Here is a 17977-nt window from a genome sequence, read left to right as displayed (position 1 = left end):
CTGGTGCTTTTGCCTCACAGCTCTTAAGATTCTTTCCTTCATATTAACTTTAGATAACCTGATGACAATGTGACTAGGTGATGATCTTTTTGTGATGAATTTTCCAGGTGTTCTTTGAGTTTCTTGTATTTGGATGTCTAGGTCTCTAGCAAGGCCAGGGAAGCTTTCCTCAATTATTCCCCAAAATATATCTTCCAAACTTTTAGATTTCTCTTTTTCCTCAGGAACACCTATTATTCTTTTTTTTTTTTTATACTTTAAGTTTTAGGGTACATGTGCACACGTGCAGGTTTGTTACATATGTATACATGTGCCATGTTGGTGTGCTGCACCCATTAACTCGTCATTTACATTAGATATATCTCCTAATGCTATCCTTCCCCCCTCCCCCCACTCCACAACAGGCCCTGGTGTGTGATGTTCCCCTTCCTGTGTCCAGGTGTTCTCATTGTTCAATTCCCACCTATGAGTGAGAACATGCGGTGTTTGGTTTTTTGTCCTTGCAATAGTTTGCTGAGAATGATGGTTTCCAGCTTCATCCGTGTGCCTACAAAGGACATGAACTCATCCTTTTTTATGGCTGCATAGTATTCCATGGTGTATATGTGCCACATTTTTTAATCCAATCTATCTTTGATGGACATTTGGCTTGGTTCCAAGTCTTTGCTATTGTGAATAGTGCAACAATAAACATATGTGTGCATATGTCTTTATAGTAGCATGATTTATAATTCTTTGGGTATATACCCAGTAATGGGATTGCTGGGTCAAATAGTATTTCTAGTTCTAGATCCTTGAGGAATCACCACACTCTCTTCCACAGTGGTTGAACTAGTTTACAGTCCCACCAACAGTGTAAAAGAGGAACACCTATTATTCTTAGATTTGGTCATTTAACATAATCCCAGACTTCTTGGAGGCTTTGTTCATATTTTCTTATTCTTTTTTCTTTGTCTTTGTTGGATTGGGTTAATTTGAAGACCTTGTTTTCAAGCTCTGAATTTCTTTCTTCCACTTGTTCAATTCTATTGCTGAGACTTTCCAGAGCATTTTGCATTTCTATAAGTGTGTCCAAAGTTTCCTGAAGTTTTGATTGTTTTTTATTTATGCTATCTATTTCCTTGAATATTTCTCCCTTCACCTCTTGTATCATTTTTTGGACTTCCTTACACTGGGCTTCACCTTTCTTTGGTGCCTCCCTGATTAGCTTAATAACTAACCTCCTGAATTCTTTTTCAGGTAAATCAGGGATTTCTTCTTGGTTTGAGTCCATTGCTGGTGAGCTAGTATGATTTTTCAGAGGTGTTAACCTTATTTTGTCATATTACCAGAGTTGGTTTTCTGGTTCCTTGTCATTTGAGTAGGCTCTGTCAGAGGGAAGGTCTAGGGCTGAAGGCTGTTGTTCAGATTCCTTTGTCCCATGGGGTGTTCCCTTATTATAGTACTCTCGCCCTTTTCCTATGGATGTGGCTTCCTGAGAGCGGAGCTGTAGTGATTGTTATCTTTCTTTTGGATCTAGCCACCCAGCTATTCTACCAGGCTCTGGGCTGGTACTGGCGGTTGTCTGCACAGAGTCTTGTGACCTGAACCATCTATGGGTCTCTCAGCCATGGATACCAGCATAGTATTTGGGGTGTCCTGGGTCATGCTGGTGTACTCTGCTTCCTTCAGGAGGTGTGTGGGTCCTCTTAGGCTTCCTGATTTATTCCTGCAGTTGTTCTGGAGCAAAAATTCACGATGCGAGCTTCCACATGCTGCTCTGTCTGTCGAGTCAGAGCTGCAATCTAGTCTGCCTCCCATCCACCATTATCCCCTTTTGTTCCCAATTCTGGAGGCAAGAAATCCAATCAAGGTGTTTTGAGGGCTGTGAGAGAACGCCTGTGCCAGGCCTCTCTCTTTGGCTTGTAGATGGCTGTCTTCTCCCTGTGTCTCTTCACATTGTTTTCTCACTGTGCGTCTCATTGTGGTTTTGATTTTTATTTCTCTAATGATCAGTGATGTTGTGCTTTTAAAATATGATTATTGTCTGCATGTGTATCTTCTTTAGAAACGTGTCTGTTCATGTCCTTTGCCCACTTTGTAATGGGATTGTTTGCTTTTTTTCATGTTAATTTGTTTAAGTTCCTTGTAAACTCTGGAAATTAGACATTTGTTAGATGGATAGATTGCAAAAACTTTCTCCCATTCTATAGGGTGTCTGTTCACTCTAATGATAGTTTCTTTTGCTGTGCAGAAGCTCCTTAGTTTAATTAGATCCCATTTGTCAATTTTTGCTTTTGTTGCAATTGCTTTTGGCATTTTTGTCATGAAATCTTTGCCCGTGCCTGCCTACGTCCTGCATGGTATTGCCTAAATTTTCTTCTAGGTTTTTTATACTTTTAGGTTTTACATTTAAGTCTTTAATCCATCTTGAGATAATTTTTATATATGGTGTAAAAATCGGGTTCAATTTCAATTTTTTGCATATGGCTAGTTCTTTTCCCAGCATCATTTATTAAATATGGAGCCCTTTGTCCATTGCTTGTTTTTGTCAGGTTTGTCAAAGATCACAGAATTGTAGGTGTGTAGTATTACTTCTGGGCTCTTTATTCTTTTCCATTAGTCTGTGTGTTTATTTTTGTACCAGTACCATGCTGTTTTGGTTACTATAGCCCTATAACATGGTTTGAAGGGATGTAAGGTGATTCTTCCAGTTTTCTTCTTTTTGCTTAGGATTGCCTTGGTTATATGGGGTTCTTTTTGGTTCCATATGAATTTTAAAGTAGTTTTTTCTAATTCTATGAAGAATGTTGTTGGTAGTATGATAGGAATAGCATTGAATCTGTAAATTGCTTTGGGATATATGGCCATTTTAATATTGATACTTTCTATCCATGAGCCTGGGATGTTTTTCCATTTGTTTGTGTCTTCTCTGATTTTTTAAAGTAATGTTTTATAGTTCTCCTTATAGAGATCTTTCACCTCCCTGGTTAGCTGTATTCAGAGGTATATTATTCTTTTTGTGGCTGTTATGAATGAGATTGCCTTTGTGATTTGGTTCTCCACTTGGCTGTTGTTGGTATATAGGAATGCTAGTGATTTTTGTACATTGATTTTTTTTATCCTGAAACCTTGTTCAAGTTGTTTTATCAGCTGAAGGAGCTTTTGTGCTGAGACTATCGGGTTTTCTAGATAGTTGTTGCAGCACTTTTTATTCTGATTATGGTATAAATGGATATTTTCAAGAGTTTCCTGAAGTATCTGTTGGCAATCTCAGTTATCTGGAATCCTTTGGCAAATTAGCATTGAGGATGTAGTATAATGTAATAGGACAGACAAAAAACCCCCAAAGATAACAGGCCCAGGTTCTTCCACTAGGAAAGCTACTTATACTTGGGCAGCTTATTTAACTTTTCTGAGCGTTGGGTTCTTCATGTTTACAATAAAGAGAGGACTAATTTATTTTAAAGTTCTCCAAGGATCTAAAATTTTATGCTGTCTGGAACATAATGAAATGAACATAGTGTCTTTATGTAGGGAAAAATAGTAAAATTTTTAATTAGGGGATGTGCATTGTTTTAGTCATAGTGCCATTGCACACTTAATAGACTACAGTATAGTGTAAACATAATTATATATTCACTAGGAAGCCACAAAATTTGTGTGACGTGTTTTATTGTGATACTCACTTTATGGCGGGGGTCTGGAACTGAACTGGCCCTGTCTCCAAGTATATGCGTATACTTTTGTTTAAGTGAAAATGTGAACTTCACTGTACTTTGTTACCTTTGTTGTTTTATGCAGAGGCATCTAGAATGATGAATCCTTTCCGGAAGATTTTCAGTTTACTTTTCCCAGACCCATCAGAGGAAATCACTGTTTGTGGTAGCTATATGAAATGTATTTCTTAAATTGTAAGACTTGAAACTTGAAATTACTTCTTGATCCATGGGCTATAGAATGGATGTTTTATTAGCAGGCATGAAAACAACACGAATTCTCTTGTACCTCCCCATCAGAGCTCTTGGGTGACTAGGTGCATTGTCAACGAGCTGTAATATTTTGAAAGGAATTTTATTTATTTTTTTTCTGAGTGGCAGTTCTCAAAGATGGTGTTAAGTGATTCAGTGATCCACGCTGTAAACAGATGTGCTGTCATCCAGTCATCCAGACATTGTAGTTCCATTTTTAGAGTACAGGCAAAGTAGATTTAGCATTTTTTTTTTTTTTTTTTTGAGACGGAGTCTTGCTCTGTCGCCCAGGCTGTAATGCAGTGGCATGATCTCATTGCAACCTCCGCCTCCCAGGTTCAAGCGATTCTCCTGCCTCAGCCTCTGAAGTAGCTGGGACTACAGGTGTGCACCACCATGCCTGGCAAATTGTTTTTTTTAGTAGAGGTGGGGTTTCACCATGTTGGCCAGGCTGGTCTCGAACTCCTGACCTCAAGTTATCCGCCGGCCTCTGCCGCCCAAAGTGCTGGGATTACAGGCATGAGCCACCATGCTTGGCCCAATTTAGCATAATTCTTAAGGGCCATTGGATCTTTTGCATGGTAATTGAGCACTGGCTTCACAGATAAGACACCAGCTTCATTAGCCCCTAACAAGAGAGTCAGCCTGTCTTTCGAACTTATGCATTGACTTTTCCTTTCTAGGTATGGAATTCCTAGATGTCATTTTATTCCAATAGAAGGATCTTTCATCTACATTGAAAATCTGTTGTTTAGTGTAGCCACCTTCATCACTTATCTTAGCTAGATCTTCTGGATAACTTGCTGCAGCTTCTCCATCAGTACTTGCTGCTTCACCTTGCATTTCATGTTATGGAGATAGTTTTTTTTTTTTTTTTTTGAGGCAGGGTCTCATTCTGTTGCCCAGCATGACTCATTTCAGCTTTGACCTCCCAGCTAGCGTCATCATGGCTCACTACAGCCTTGATCTCCCAGGCTAAAGTGATCCTCTCACTTCAGTCTCCCGAGTAGCTGAGGCTACAGGTGCATGCCACCATACTAAGCTAATATTTTCTATTTTTTGTAGAGACAGGGTCTCACTATGTTGCTCAGGCTGAGACAACTTCTTTTCTTAAAGCTTGTAAACCAACTTTTCTTCTGCAGCTTCCTAACCTCTCTCAGTCTTCATAGAATTGAAGAGAGTATCTTGCTCTGAGTTAGGCTTTGGCTTAAGGGAATGCTGTGGCTGATTTGATGTTGTATTCAGACTACTATAACTTTCTCCATATCATCAGTAAGACTGTTTTGCTTTCTTATTATTTGTGTGTTCATAGGAGTAGCACTTTTTTTTCCTTTTTTTTCCTTTTTTTTTTTGAGATGGAGTGTTGCTCTGTCGCCCAGGCTAGAATGCAGTGGCAGTATCTTGGCTCACTGCAACTTCAGCCTCCTGGGTTCAAGTCATTCTTCTGCCTCAGCCTCCCGAGTAGCTGGGATTGCAGGTGCCTGCCACCACACCTGGCTAATTTCTGTATTTTTAGTAGAGACGGGGTTTCACCATGTTGGCAAGGCTGGTCTTGAATTCCTGACCTCAAGTGATCCTCCTGCCTCAGCCTCCCTAAGTGCTAGGATTATAGGTGTGAGCCACTGCACCTGGCCAGGAGTAGCACTTTTAAATTTGTTCAAGAACTATTCTTTCTCATTCACAACTTGACTCTGCAGCAAGCAGTCTTGCTTTCAGCCTGTCTCAGCTTTCAACATGCCTTCCACACTAGGTTTAGTAATTTTTAGTTCTTTTTTTTTTTTTTTGAGACAAGGACTTGCTCTCTTTCCCAGGCAAACAGAGGTGGCGCAATCCTAGCTCTCTGCAGCCTTGAACTCCTGGGGTCAAGTGATGCTCCTCTCTCAGCTTCCCAAGTAGCTCGGACTACAGGCATGTACTGCCATGGCTGGATGGCTCGTTAATTATGTTTTGTAGAGATGGAGTCTTGCCGTGTTTCCCAGGCTGGCCTCAGTCTCCTGGCCTCAAGTGATTGTCCCACCTTGACCTCCCAAAGTGCTGGGATTGCAGGTGTGAGCCACCACACCCAGCCATTTCTAGCTTTTGATTTAAAGTGAGAAACTTGAGACTCTTCCTTTCACGTGAATATTTAGAGGCCATGGTAGTGCTGGAATTGGCATAATTTCAACATTGCTGTGTCTCAGGGGATAGGGAGGAGGCCTGAGGAGAGAGAGAGAGATAGGGGAATGGTTGGTAGGTGAAGCAGTCAGAACACACACAGCATTTGTTAATTAAGTTCAATGTCTTATGCATGCATGGTTTGTGGTGCTTCAAAGCAATTACAATTGTGCCATCAAATATCACTGATTACAGATCATCATACTAGATATAATAATAATGAAAAGATTGAAATATTTTGAGAGTTACCGAAATGTGACACAGACACACAAAGTGAGCACATGCTGTTGGAAAAGTCATGCTGATAGATGTGTTCTACTCAAGGTTGCCACAAACCTTGCATTTGTGAAAAACACAGTATCTGTGAAGTGCAGTAAAGTGAAGCACAATAAAATGAGGTATGCTCGTACTCTGGCTCTTTCTATATATTGTTTCTTACAAACAAAGTATAAGTAAAGTATTGCTAGTGGCATATTGATAACAGTCAACTGGGCATCTAATAAAGAGGAGTTAGGAAAACTTTAAAATTACATAACAGGAACTTAAAAAAATCACAATAATTTGGCTTGGGCCAGTGAATTCTGGGCTGAATATCAATATTGAAGGCATTATTGTAGTGTGGCAAAGTAATGTTCATAATAATGACTGGCCAGCAGAGTAAATATTGCACTAATTTTATACCAAATGTACTTCTTTATATATCAAATGTACATCTTCTGTTTAAGAAGATATCAGGCTTATATAGTGCATTTGATATAAAACTCACCAATTTAAGGTCTGGAGACTTAAAAATACAGTCCAGGCTAGATGCAGTGGCTCACACGTGTAATCTCAGAATTTTGGGAGGCTGAAGTGGGAGGATTGCTTGAGCCCAGGAGTTTGAAACCAGCCTGGACAACATAATGAGACATAGTCACTACAGAAAATAAAAAAGTTACCTGGGCGTGGTGGCTTGTGCCTATAGTCCCAGCTACTTAAGAGGCTGAGGTAGGAGGATTACTTGGGCCAGGAGATCGAGGCTGCAGTGAGCTGTGATTGTGTCACTGCACTGCAGTCTCAAAAAAGAAAAACCAACTAAACAAAAACTTTAATTTTCTAAACATTTAAATGTATTGACTCTTTTCCTGATGCTATTACATATTAGCATATATGTTATCACCATTATATGTGCTGTTTCAGTTACGGAATCTTTCATTACCAGAGATGCAATCTGAATGATGTCTTGTTGGATTTATTATTTGTCATTTCCCAATTGCAAGTATGTAAATTACTTATCAAAGACATTTCTGTTAAATGAGAAGAACAAAGATTTCTTGAATTGATTTGTAGTAAGCTGTGTTTTTAATAATTTCTGGAAAAGGAAAGAAAGCATTTTTAGAGAAGAATTTGTTAAAATTTTAAGCCTCTCAATGGCATCCATTAGTATAATTAAAGATATTGTAGTGGCAGGCTAATCTATGTTATAAGTGATAAGAAACAAGTGCTTCTATAAACCAAAAGATTGTGTTTTTCTAAATTTTTAAGTATTTATGGGTTAATTTCTAGGGTGGTGTAGTTCGAACAGCTTTCTTGTGCTAAGATGGCAATGATTGAAAATTCACCTTCCTGGAATACATTTTTTTTTAACTGAAAACTTCAGTACAGTACAGTGTTTGTTATTCTATGTGACAGGATACCCAGAGTTATATTGACGAATGTCCTGGGAACGGAGTTAGGAAGAAAATACATAAGGACCCCACCTGTAACTGAGGGAAGTTTGAGTGATACAGACAACTTGCAATCAGAGCAACTTTCTTCATCATCTGATGGCAGCCTAGAATCTTATCAAAATCTAAACCCTCACAAGAGCTGTTATTTATCTGAAAGGTATGTTTAGTGATAACTTTACTCAAAATAATTATATTTATTTTTATGTATCCTTCCCTGTTCTTTTTCACAGATACATTATTGCTAAATGTGAGGTAAATGTGCTCTGATAGCTGGTATTATTTTTCTCCCCGGGTGGCTGGAATGGCTATTGGAACCAACAGTCCATGGCTAATAATGTGTTTCAGAAGCACTGGCCACCATACTTGTATTTTGGAAAAATGGATACAGACACTTAATGAAAATCTGGTAACCTATTTCAGTATCCCAGTTTGTCTGGTGTAATTGAAATCCATTCCTCTGACATTAGTCTATTGCCCTCTCTTTTTCTGTTCTATTTGTCCATCTATCCATCTACCCATTCAGTCTTGTCTGTTATTTTGTTTTACTTTAATTTTTTTGAGGCGGAGTCTCGTTCTGTCGCCCAGGCTGGAGTGCAGTGGCATGATCTCGGCTCACTGCAACCTCTGCCTCCCAGGTTCAAGCGATTCTCCTACCTCAGCCTCCCAAGTAGCTGGGACTACAGGCACGTGCCACCACGCCCAGCTAATTTTTTGTATTTTTTAGTAGAGACAGGGTTTCACCGTGTTAGCCAGGATGGTCTCGATCTCCTGACCTTGTGATCTGCCTGCTTCAGCCTCCCAAAGGGCTGGCATTACAGGCGTGAGCCACTGCCCCCGGCCTTGTCCGTTATTTTTATATTCAGACTCTAGAATTTTAACTAGTACTTAGTGCTCAGTAAATAGTTTTTGAATGAATGGCTGAACACATTCCTTAAAAAAATGGTTTGAGATTTTCCATTAACAAATGGAAAAGCTGAATTCCATTGACAAATGTAGCTTGTTGTGCCAATAAGAGAAATGCAGATCTGAAGTTGCCTTTGTTTTAAGCTCTAGGAGAGGATTGTGTGTGGACTGGAAATAAGAAAAAATCTGTGGCACAAAGCTAGGGATGGTCAGTTAGTACATTCTGTTAGATTTATAAACTTCCATTTGCTACAAGCTTCTGAAGCTTCTCTTTTTATTTTCTGTGTTCAGCCTGTAGGATACTTTTTATATAGATGAAAAGTTGATTATCCTAATTTTTTTCCCCCCAAACTATCCAAAGCTAACTTCTGGTTTGTATTTCTATTGTAAGCCTAATTACATTAAATAGTACTTATAGTTGCCTTTTTAAATATCTACAACAAATTTTATTATTTAAAACTCTTTATTTTCTATGAATTCTTGAATTTTTCTTCTTTTGGAAAATATTTTCACCTAGGTTCTACTTAGTGAATCAGTAACGACAATTTTAACTTTATATTTTATTAGGTCTCTTGCTAAGTTTTCCCCCCAAAATGAGAATTTCAGTGGCATTATTCAGTTACTAAATTTAATGTGTAATTGGGGAAATTAGTAATGTATCTATCAAGTGGCTCATGCCTATGTATCTATCAAGTGGCTCATGCCTATAATCCTAGCCCTTTGGGAGGCTGAGGCACGAGGATCACTTGAGGCGAGGAGTTCAAGACCAGCCTAGGAGGCATAGTGAGATCTTGTTTCTGCTAAAAATGAAAAAAATGAGCCAGATGTGATGGTGCATGCTTGTAGTCTCAGCTACTTGGGAGGCTGAGGTGGGAGGATCGCTTGAGCCCAGGAATTCAAGATTGCAGTGAGCTATGATAGCCACTGCATCCTAGCCTGGGTGACAGGGCAAGACTCTGTCTCAAAAACAACAGCCGGGTATGGTGGCTCACGCCTGTAATCCCAGCACTTTGGGAGGCTGAGGCGGGTGGATCATCTGAGGTCAGGAGTTCGAGGCCAGCCTGACCAACATGGTGAAACCTTGTCTCTACCGAAAATACAAAATTAGCTGGGCGTGGTGGCAGGGGCCTATAATCCCAACCACTTGGGAGGCTGAGGCAGGAGAATTGCTTGAACCCAGGAGGTGGAGGTTGCAGTGAGCTGAGACCGCACCATTGCACTCCAGCCTGGGCAACAAGAGCAAAATTTCATCTCAAAAAACACACAAAAAACAATAACAACAACAACAAAAGTACCTATCCACGTTGCAGTATAGCTGTTTATTTCCACCTCCTCTGCTATACCATGAGCTCCTTGAGAAGAAGAGGTATTGTGTCTTATTTGCATTTATACCTAGGACTTAGCTCAATGTATACTAAATTTTTTGCTCTTGGGTTAATGCTTATGTCATTTAATGTAAAATTCAGTTTTCTGAGTTGTAAACAGAGAAGTAATTTTGAATGCCCTATGTACCTCACAAAAATGTTATTTTTCTTTTCTTTTAAATCTCACTTCTGAGAATTCTTTGAGCCCATAAAATAAATGAAAATATTAAGGAAGGTACTTTCTGTTGGAGAAAAAGTTGTGATGATTGAGCTTTAAGTCAAATGATGAGCAAAAAAAAAAGAAAAAGATTAAAAGAAAAAACTTATGATGTGCCATTGCCCATGGAACTCAGATGATGTCAGTGCACATTTATGTTGTTAAGAAAAATCACACTTTTGAAGATTGTATGAAACAATCAAATTGTAATCTGTACGCTTCTGCCTTTATGCCATTCTGGGGCTAAGGTTTAATAATATTAATAGGTATAATATTTCTGGTCATTCCCCAAAACTATTCAGTGGGAACACTAGCTCTCCTTTAAATCCTTTCTAAATAGATGTGGAATTTCCAGGTGGTTTTGATGTGGACCTTGAAAATTCATTCCCTTAGTGACAATTTTATTTGATTCATGTATTTGGAATAAGCATGAACTTTGGAGCCAGACATCTGGATTAAGATATTAGCTATACTGCTAATACACTGACTTACCTTGGACAGGTTTCTTACCGTGTCTTTAAAGCAGGGATAATAATACACACCTTATTGGGTTAGTGTGCAGATATAAGGAGATGATCCATGTAAAGTCCCAAGTATAATGCCAGGAAGTTAGTAGGTGATTATTAAAAGTTAGTCATTATTTTTGTGTCTCTCTTATTGGTGCTGATATCAGAAGTATTATAAAAGGATATTACTATAGTTGATGTTACTGAAATCTTCTACAATGAGGGTGCCAACATGTGTTCCTGAGTCCACTTATCGTCATCACCATTGCTGCCAAAGCAATTGTTATGGCTTTGTTAGCCTCCCCATTTAATTTAGCAAATACTGAACTCCTTAAACCAAGCTTTAGTTCTTTCTTCCCTTAAGATGAATTTGTTAATCTTAACCCTAAGATCATATGGAATTAAAAAAGAGCCCAAATAGCCAAAGCAGTCCTGAGTGAAAAGAATAAAACTGGAGGCATTACACTACCTGACTTCAAAATATATTACAAGGCTATAGTAACCAAAACAGCATGGTATAAAAACAGACCCATAGGCCAACGGAACAGAACAGAGAACCTATAAATAAATCCATATATTTACAGCCAGCTGATTTTCAGCAAAAGGTGCCAAGAACATACACTGGGGAAAGGACACCCTCTTCAGTAGTGATCCTGGGAAAATATGCAGAAGAGTGAAACTAGACCCCTGTCTCTCACCACATATAAAAAATCAACCCAAGATAAATTAAATACTTTAAACGTAAGACCTGAAACTATAAAACTGCTGGAAGAAAACATAGGGGACATGCTTGTGGACATTGGTCTAGGCAAAGATTTTTTGACTTAGACCTCACACAGGCAACAACAAAAAATACATAAATGAGACTATATTAAGCTGAATGGCTTCTGCACAGCTAAGGAGCCAACCCATCAACAGAGTAAAGAGACAACTTCCAGAATGGGAGAAAATGTTTGTAAACTATTCATCCAAGAAGGGACTGATACCCAGAATATATGAGGAATCCAAACAACTGAACAGTAAAAATAAACAAATAATCCCACTAAAAAGTGTGCAAGTGACATAAAAAGACATTTCTCAAAAAAAGACATACAAATGACAAACAGGTATGTGAACAGTGCCCAGCATTGCTAAGTGTAAGGGAAAAGCAAATCAAAACTACAATGAGATATCATCTTACCTTAGCTAGAATGGCGGTTAGAAAGACAAAGAATAGCAGATGTTGGCAAGGATGTGGAGAAGAGGGAACTCTCATACACTGTTGGTGGGAATGTAAATTGGTGTAACTATTATGGAAAGCAGTATGGAGATTTCTCAGAAAACTAAAATAGATTAAAAAAAAGAAACAAAAAAGAAAAAAACAAATTTTAAAAAGAAGTCCCAGCTACTCGGGAGGCTGAGGCAGGAGAATGGCGTGAACCTGGGAGGCGGAGCTTACAGTGGGCCGAGATTGCGCCACTGCACTCCAGCCTGGGCGACAGAGCCAGACTCCGTCTCAAAAAAAAAAAAAATTTTTAAAAAGAAACATAAAAATAGAACCACTGTACAATCCAGTAGTCCTGCTACTAGTATTTATCTAAAGGAAAGGAAGTCAATATACCAAAGAGATACATGCACCTACCATGTTTTTTTGCAGTACTATTCACCATAGCAAAGATACAGAATCAACTTAAGTGTCCCATCAGTGGATAATGGAAATACGGTGTCTGTATACACAATGGAATACCATTCAGCCATAAAAAAGAATGAAATCCTGTCATGTGCAGCAACATGGATGGAACTAGAGGTCATTACATGAAATAAGACAGGCACAGAAAGATAAATGTTGGATGTTCTCTCTCACATGTGAGAGCTTAAATAAGTTGATCTCATAGAGGCAGAGAGTAGAATTATAAACACTAGAGGCTGGGAAGTGTATGTGTGGTGGGGGGCAATGGAGAGAATTTGGTTAATGGCTACTATATAGTTAGAAATAATATGTTTTAATATCCAGTAGCAGAGTAGGGTGACTGTAGTGCATTGTATATTTTAAAATAGCTAGAAGAGAGGAATTGAAATGTTCCCAACACATGGAAATGATAAATACTTGAGGTGATGGATACCCCAGATAATTTGACTTGATCATTACACATTCTGTGCATGTACCAAATACCATATGTACCCGTGAGAATGAGTTGTTATAAACCTGTTTGTCCTATTTAGTCTTTTTGCGCACTTCTGCTTCCTCTTACACTTTTCTACCATGCTATGAAGAGCAGGAAGCCCTCACTAGAAGCTGCCAGATGTAGCCACCCAGTCTCAAACTTTTCAGCTTGATTAACTGTGAGCTAAATAAATTTCTATTCATTATATTGTATTACCTGGTCTCAGGTATTCAGTTACAGCAACACGAAACAGACTAAGACATTTATATTTCCCTAATTAGTGAAGTTGAGCATTTTTTCATATGTCTATTGGACATTTGTATATCTTCTTTTGATAAATGTCTATTCATTCTGTTACCCATTTTTTAAATTGGATTATTTGTTTTCTTTTTATAGAGTTGTTTGAGTTTCCTTACATATTTTAGATATGTACGTATCCCTAGTGAGATGTATGATTTGAGACTATCTCCCAATCTATAGGTTGTCTCTCCACTCTGAAAATGATTTCATTGGTTGTACAAAAGCTTTTAATTTTGATGTAATCCCTTTTGTCTGTTTTTTGCTTTTGTTACCTGTGCTTTTTGGGTGAAATCTAAAAAATCATTGCTCAGACCAATGTCATATAGTTATTCCCCTGTTTTGGAAATTTTACATTTTCAGGTCTTATGGTTAAATTTTTAACCCATTTTGAGTAGATTTTTGTATATGGTGAGAAATAGGGGTATAGTTTCATTCTTCTGCATATGGGTATTTAGTTTTTCCAGCAACATTTATTGAAGAGGGTATCCTTTTGCAGTATATGTTCTTGGTGCCTTTGTTGAAAGTCAATTGGCTCTAAATATGGGGATTTATTTCTGGGTTTTCTATTCTGTTCCATTGGTCTATGTATTTGTTTTTTAAAGAGATGGGGTCTTGCTTTGTCATCCAGACTGTAGTGCAGTCCATGATCATAGCTCACTGTACCCTTGAACTCCTGACTTCAAGCAATCTTCCCTCCTCAGCCTCCTGAATAGCTGGGACTACAGATGTGTACCACCACACCCAGCTATTTTTATACCAATGTCATGCTGTTTTGGTTACTATAGCTTTGTAATATATTTTGAAGTCAGATAGTGTGATGCCTCCAGCATTGTTCTTTTTGCTCAGTATTGCTTTGGTTATTTGGTGTCTTTTGTGGTTCCATGTGAATTTTTGGATTGGTTTTTCTGTTTCTAGGAAGAATATCATTGGCATTTTGATTGGGATTGCATTTTATTTGTAGATTACTTTGGGAAGTATGGTCATTTTAACACTATTAGTTCTAATCCATGAGCTTGGGATATCTTTCCATTTGTTTATGTCCTCTTTAATTTCTTTCATTGGTGTTTTGTAATTTCCAATTTAGAGATCTTTCAACTCTATGGTTAAATTTATTCGTAGTTATTTTATTCTGTAGCTATTCTAAGTGGAATTACTTTATTTTTTTTCCAGCTAGTTCGTTGCTGGTATATGCTACTGATTTTTCTATGTTGATTCAGTGTCCTGCAATTTTAATGAATTTATTAGTTTTTGGATGGAGTATTTAGGTTTTTCTATATGTATGGTCATGTCATCTGGAAAGAGGGATAATTTGACTATCTCTTTTCTAATTTGGATGCCCTTTATTTCTTTCTCTTACCTAATTGCTCTGGATAGGACTTCTAGGACTGTGCTGAATAAGAGTCGTGAAGGTGGGCATCCTTGTCTTGTTCCAGTTCTTTGAGGAAAGGCTTCCAGATTTTATTCAATCAGTATAATTTGGCTGTGGATTTGTCATATAGGGCCTTAATCATGTTGCAGTGTGTTACTTCTGTGCCTATTATTTTGAGGGTTTTTATCATGGGGGGATATTGAATATTATCAAATGCTTTTTTTGCATCTGTTGAGGTGATCACATGGTTTTTGCCCTTCGTTCTAATATGAGGTATCACAATTATTGATTTGTGTGTGTCTTGCATCCCTGAGATAAATCTCACTTGATCATGGTGCATTATCTTTTTTGATGTGTGGTTGGATTCTGTTTGCTAGTATTCTGTTGAGGATTTTTGCATCTGTGTTGCTCATATTGGCCTGAACTTTTTTTCTCATGTCCTTGTATAGTTTTGTTATCAGGGTAGTGCTGGCCTTGTAGAATGAGTTAGATAAAATTTCCTCCTCTTAAGTTGTTTGGAGTGGTTTGAGAAGAATTGGTGTTAGTTCCTCTCTATAAGATTGATAGAATTCAGCAATAAAACCGTCCAGTCCTGGGCTTTTCTTTGTTGATAGACCTTTTATTACTGCTTTGATCTTGTTGCTTGTTACTGGTATGTTCAGGTTTTCTCTTTCTTCCTGATTCAATCTTGTAGGTTGTATGTCTCTAGGAATTTTTCAGTTTCCTTGAGATTTTCCAGTTTGCTGGCATATACTTGTTCATAATATCCTCTAATTATTCTTTGTATTTCTGTGGTATCAGTTTTAATGCCTCCTTTTTTTGTTTCTGATTGTATTTATTTCAGTGTTCTTTCTTGTTTTTTTTTTTAATCTTGGTTGGTGTAGCCAGTGATTTTTGTTTGTCTTTAAAAAACAATTTTTATTATGTTGATCCTTTTAATTTTTCTTACTATATTTCATTTAGTTCTTCTATGACTTTATTATCTTTTTGTTTCTACTAATTTTGGGTTTAGTTTGTTATTGCTTTTCTAGTTTTTTGAGATGCATCATTTGGTTGTTTATTTGAAATCTTTCTACTTTTTGATTTAGGTGTTTACTGCTATAAATTTCCCTCTTAGCACTGCTTTTGCTGGATCCCATATGTTATGGTATGCTGTATTTCTGTTTTCATTTGTTTTAATACTTTTTAAATTTATTTTTTATTTTTTCCCTTGATCCAGTGGTTCTTCAGGAGCATGTTGTTTAAGTTCCATGTACAGTTTCTAAAGTTCCTTTGTTACTGATTTCTAGTTTTATTTCATTGCAGTCTCAGAAGATAGTTGATATGATTTTGATTTTTAAAAAGTTATTGAGATTTGTTTTGTGTCTTAACATATGGTCTATCCTGGAGAATGTTCCATATGCTGATGAGAAGAATGTATATTCTGCAGCCATGGGTGAAATGTTTTGTAAATGTCTGTTAGGCCCATTTGATCAATAGTGTAGATTAAGTCTGATACTTTGTTGTTCAATTTCTGTCTTGATGATCTGTCCACTGCTGAGAGTAGGGTGTTGAAATCCCCCATTATTTTTGTATTGGAGTCTGTCTCTTCTTTTAGATCTAATAATATTTGCTTTATATTTCTGTGTTCTCTAATATTAAGTGCATGTATATTTGGAATTATATCCTCTTAGCTTATCTCTTTATCATTATATAATGTAGTTCTTTGTCTCTTTTTACAGTTTTTGACTTAAAGTCTACAAAAGGAAACCAAAAGCATGACTTAAAATTTGCAAATGGAAACCGAAAGCAGTCTTAAAGTTTGATGTATGTATAGCTGCTCTTGCATGCTTTTGGTTTCCATTTGTGTGGAATGTATTTTTTTTTTTTTTTCGGTCAATGTATGTCTTTATTGGTGACGTGAGTAGGGAGCATACAGTTGAATTGGGTCATTTTAAAAAAATGGATTCAGCCAGTTCATGTCTTTCTGGGTTTTTTTTTTTTTTTTTTTTTTTTGAGACAGAGTCTCGCTCTGTTGCCCAAGCTAGAGTGCAGTGGCACAATCTCGACTCACTGCAACTTCCGCCTCCCAGGTTCAAGCAGTTCTTCTGTCTCAGACTCCCAAGTAGCTGGGACTACAGATGCCCACCACCATGCCTGGCTAATTTTTGTATTTTTAGTAGAGATGGGGTTTCACCATATTGGTCAGGCTGGTCTCTAACTCCTGACCTCAGGTGATCCACCCGCCTCAGCCTCCCAAAGTGCTGGGATTACAAGCATGAGCCACTGTGCCTGGCTCATATATTTCAAGTTGGCAATTTAATTCCTTTACATTCAGGCTATTATTAATAGATGAGGACTTAACTCCTGCATTTTGTAAATTGTTTTCTGGGTGTTTTGTATATCCTTTTTTTCTTTCTTCCACTTTTATCATTTATCACTTCAGTTTGGTGGTTTTCTGTAGTGACAGTGTTCAACTCCTTTGTCATTTTCATTTGTATATCTGTTCAACAGTTAGTTTTGTACTTTTAGGTATGTTCATTATTTTAGATAGTGCCATTTTGCTTCTGGGTGTAGGATTTTCTTAAGCATTTAATGTAAGTAGGGCCTGTCTAGTGGTGAAGAGTTCCCTCAGCTTTTGCTTGTCTGGGAAAAACTCTTACTCATTTATGAAGGATAACTTTGCTAGGTATGGTATCCTTGGCTGGCAGTTTTTTTTTTCTTTTAGTACTTTGAATATATCATCTCATTCTCTTCTGGCCTGCATGTTTTCTGTGGAGAAATCTGCTGTTTGTTTGATGGAGATTCTCTTATAAGTGTCTAGACATGTTTCTTTTGCTGTTCTTAGAATTTTCTTGTTGTCTCTGACTTGGTAGTTTGACCATGATGTGCTGCGGAGAAGACCTTTGTATTGTATCTATTTGAGGATCTCTGTATTTCCTGTGTCTGTATGTCTAAATCTCTTGCTGGATTTGAAGGCTGAGGTGGGAGGATTGCTTGAGCCCAGGAGTTCAAGGCCGCAGTGAGCTAGGATTGCACCACTCTACTCTAGCTTGGGTGGCTGAGGGAGACCCCACCTCTAAAAAAGTAAAAATTAAAAATAAAATAATAAAAATAAATCTTTTGCTCAACTTGGGAAGTTTTCAGCTATTATTTCTTGAAGTATGTTTTCTATCCCTTTGTTTTTTCTCTTTGCCTTCTGGGACATTGAAAATGGAATATTTGGTCATTTTATGATGTCTTATATGTCATGTAGGCTTTCTTCATTTTTTAATTCTTTTTTTCTTTTTTTATGTGTCTGTTTTTTCAGAAGATCTGTCTTCAAGTTCAGAAATTCTTCTTGGTCTAGTCTATTGTTGAAGCTTTTGATTGTATTTTTTGT

At 37.6% G+C, this 17977-nt stretch overlaps 1 protein-coding gene across 18 annotated transcripts in view; it reads left to right on the top strand.

Moving 5' to 3' along the window:
• SENP7 (SUMO specific peptidase 7) overlaps positions 1–17977 on the top strand; it is a 189008-nt gene that overhangs the window by 106382 nt on the left and 64649 nt on the right. For 10 of the 18 annotated variants that reach the window (XR_007095714.1, XR_007095713.1, NM_001282802.2 and 7 more), the window contains one exon: positions 7776–7970. The exons of the other annotated variants lie outside the window; for them this stretch is intronic. Coding sequence is in view for 8 of the 10 variants with exons in the window: in NM_001282802.2 (NP_001269731.1) it covers positions 7776–7970 (195 nt within the window). In the remaining 2 variants the exon portion in view is untranslated. The remainder of the gene's footprint in view (positions 1–7775; positions 7971–17977) is intronic. 18 annotated transcript variants of the gene reach the window in all.

This window comes from Homo sapiens, chromosome 3 (genome assembly GCF_000001405.40).
Source record: "Homo sapiens chromosome 3, GRCh38.p14 Primary Assembly".
In the NCBI taxonomy this organism is placed as follows: domain Eukaryota; kingdom Metazoa; phylum Chordata; class Mammalia; order Primates; family Hominidae; genus Homo; species Homo sapiens.
This window is presented reverse-complemented; position numbering and strand designations above follow the sequence as displayed.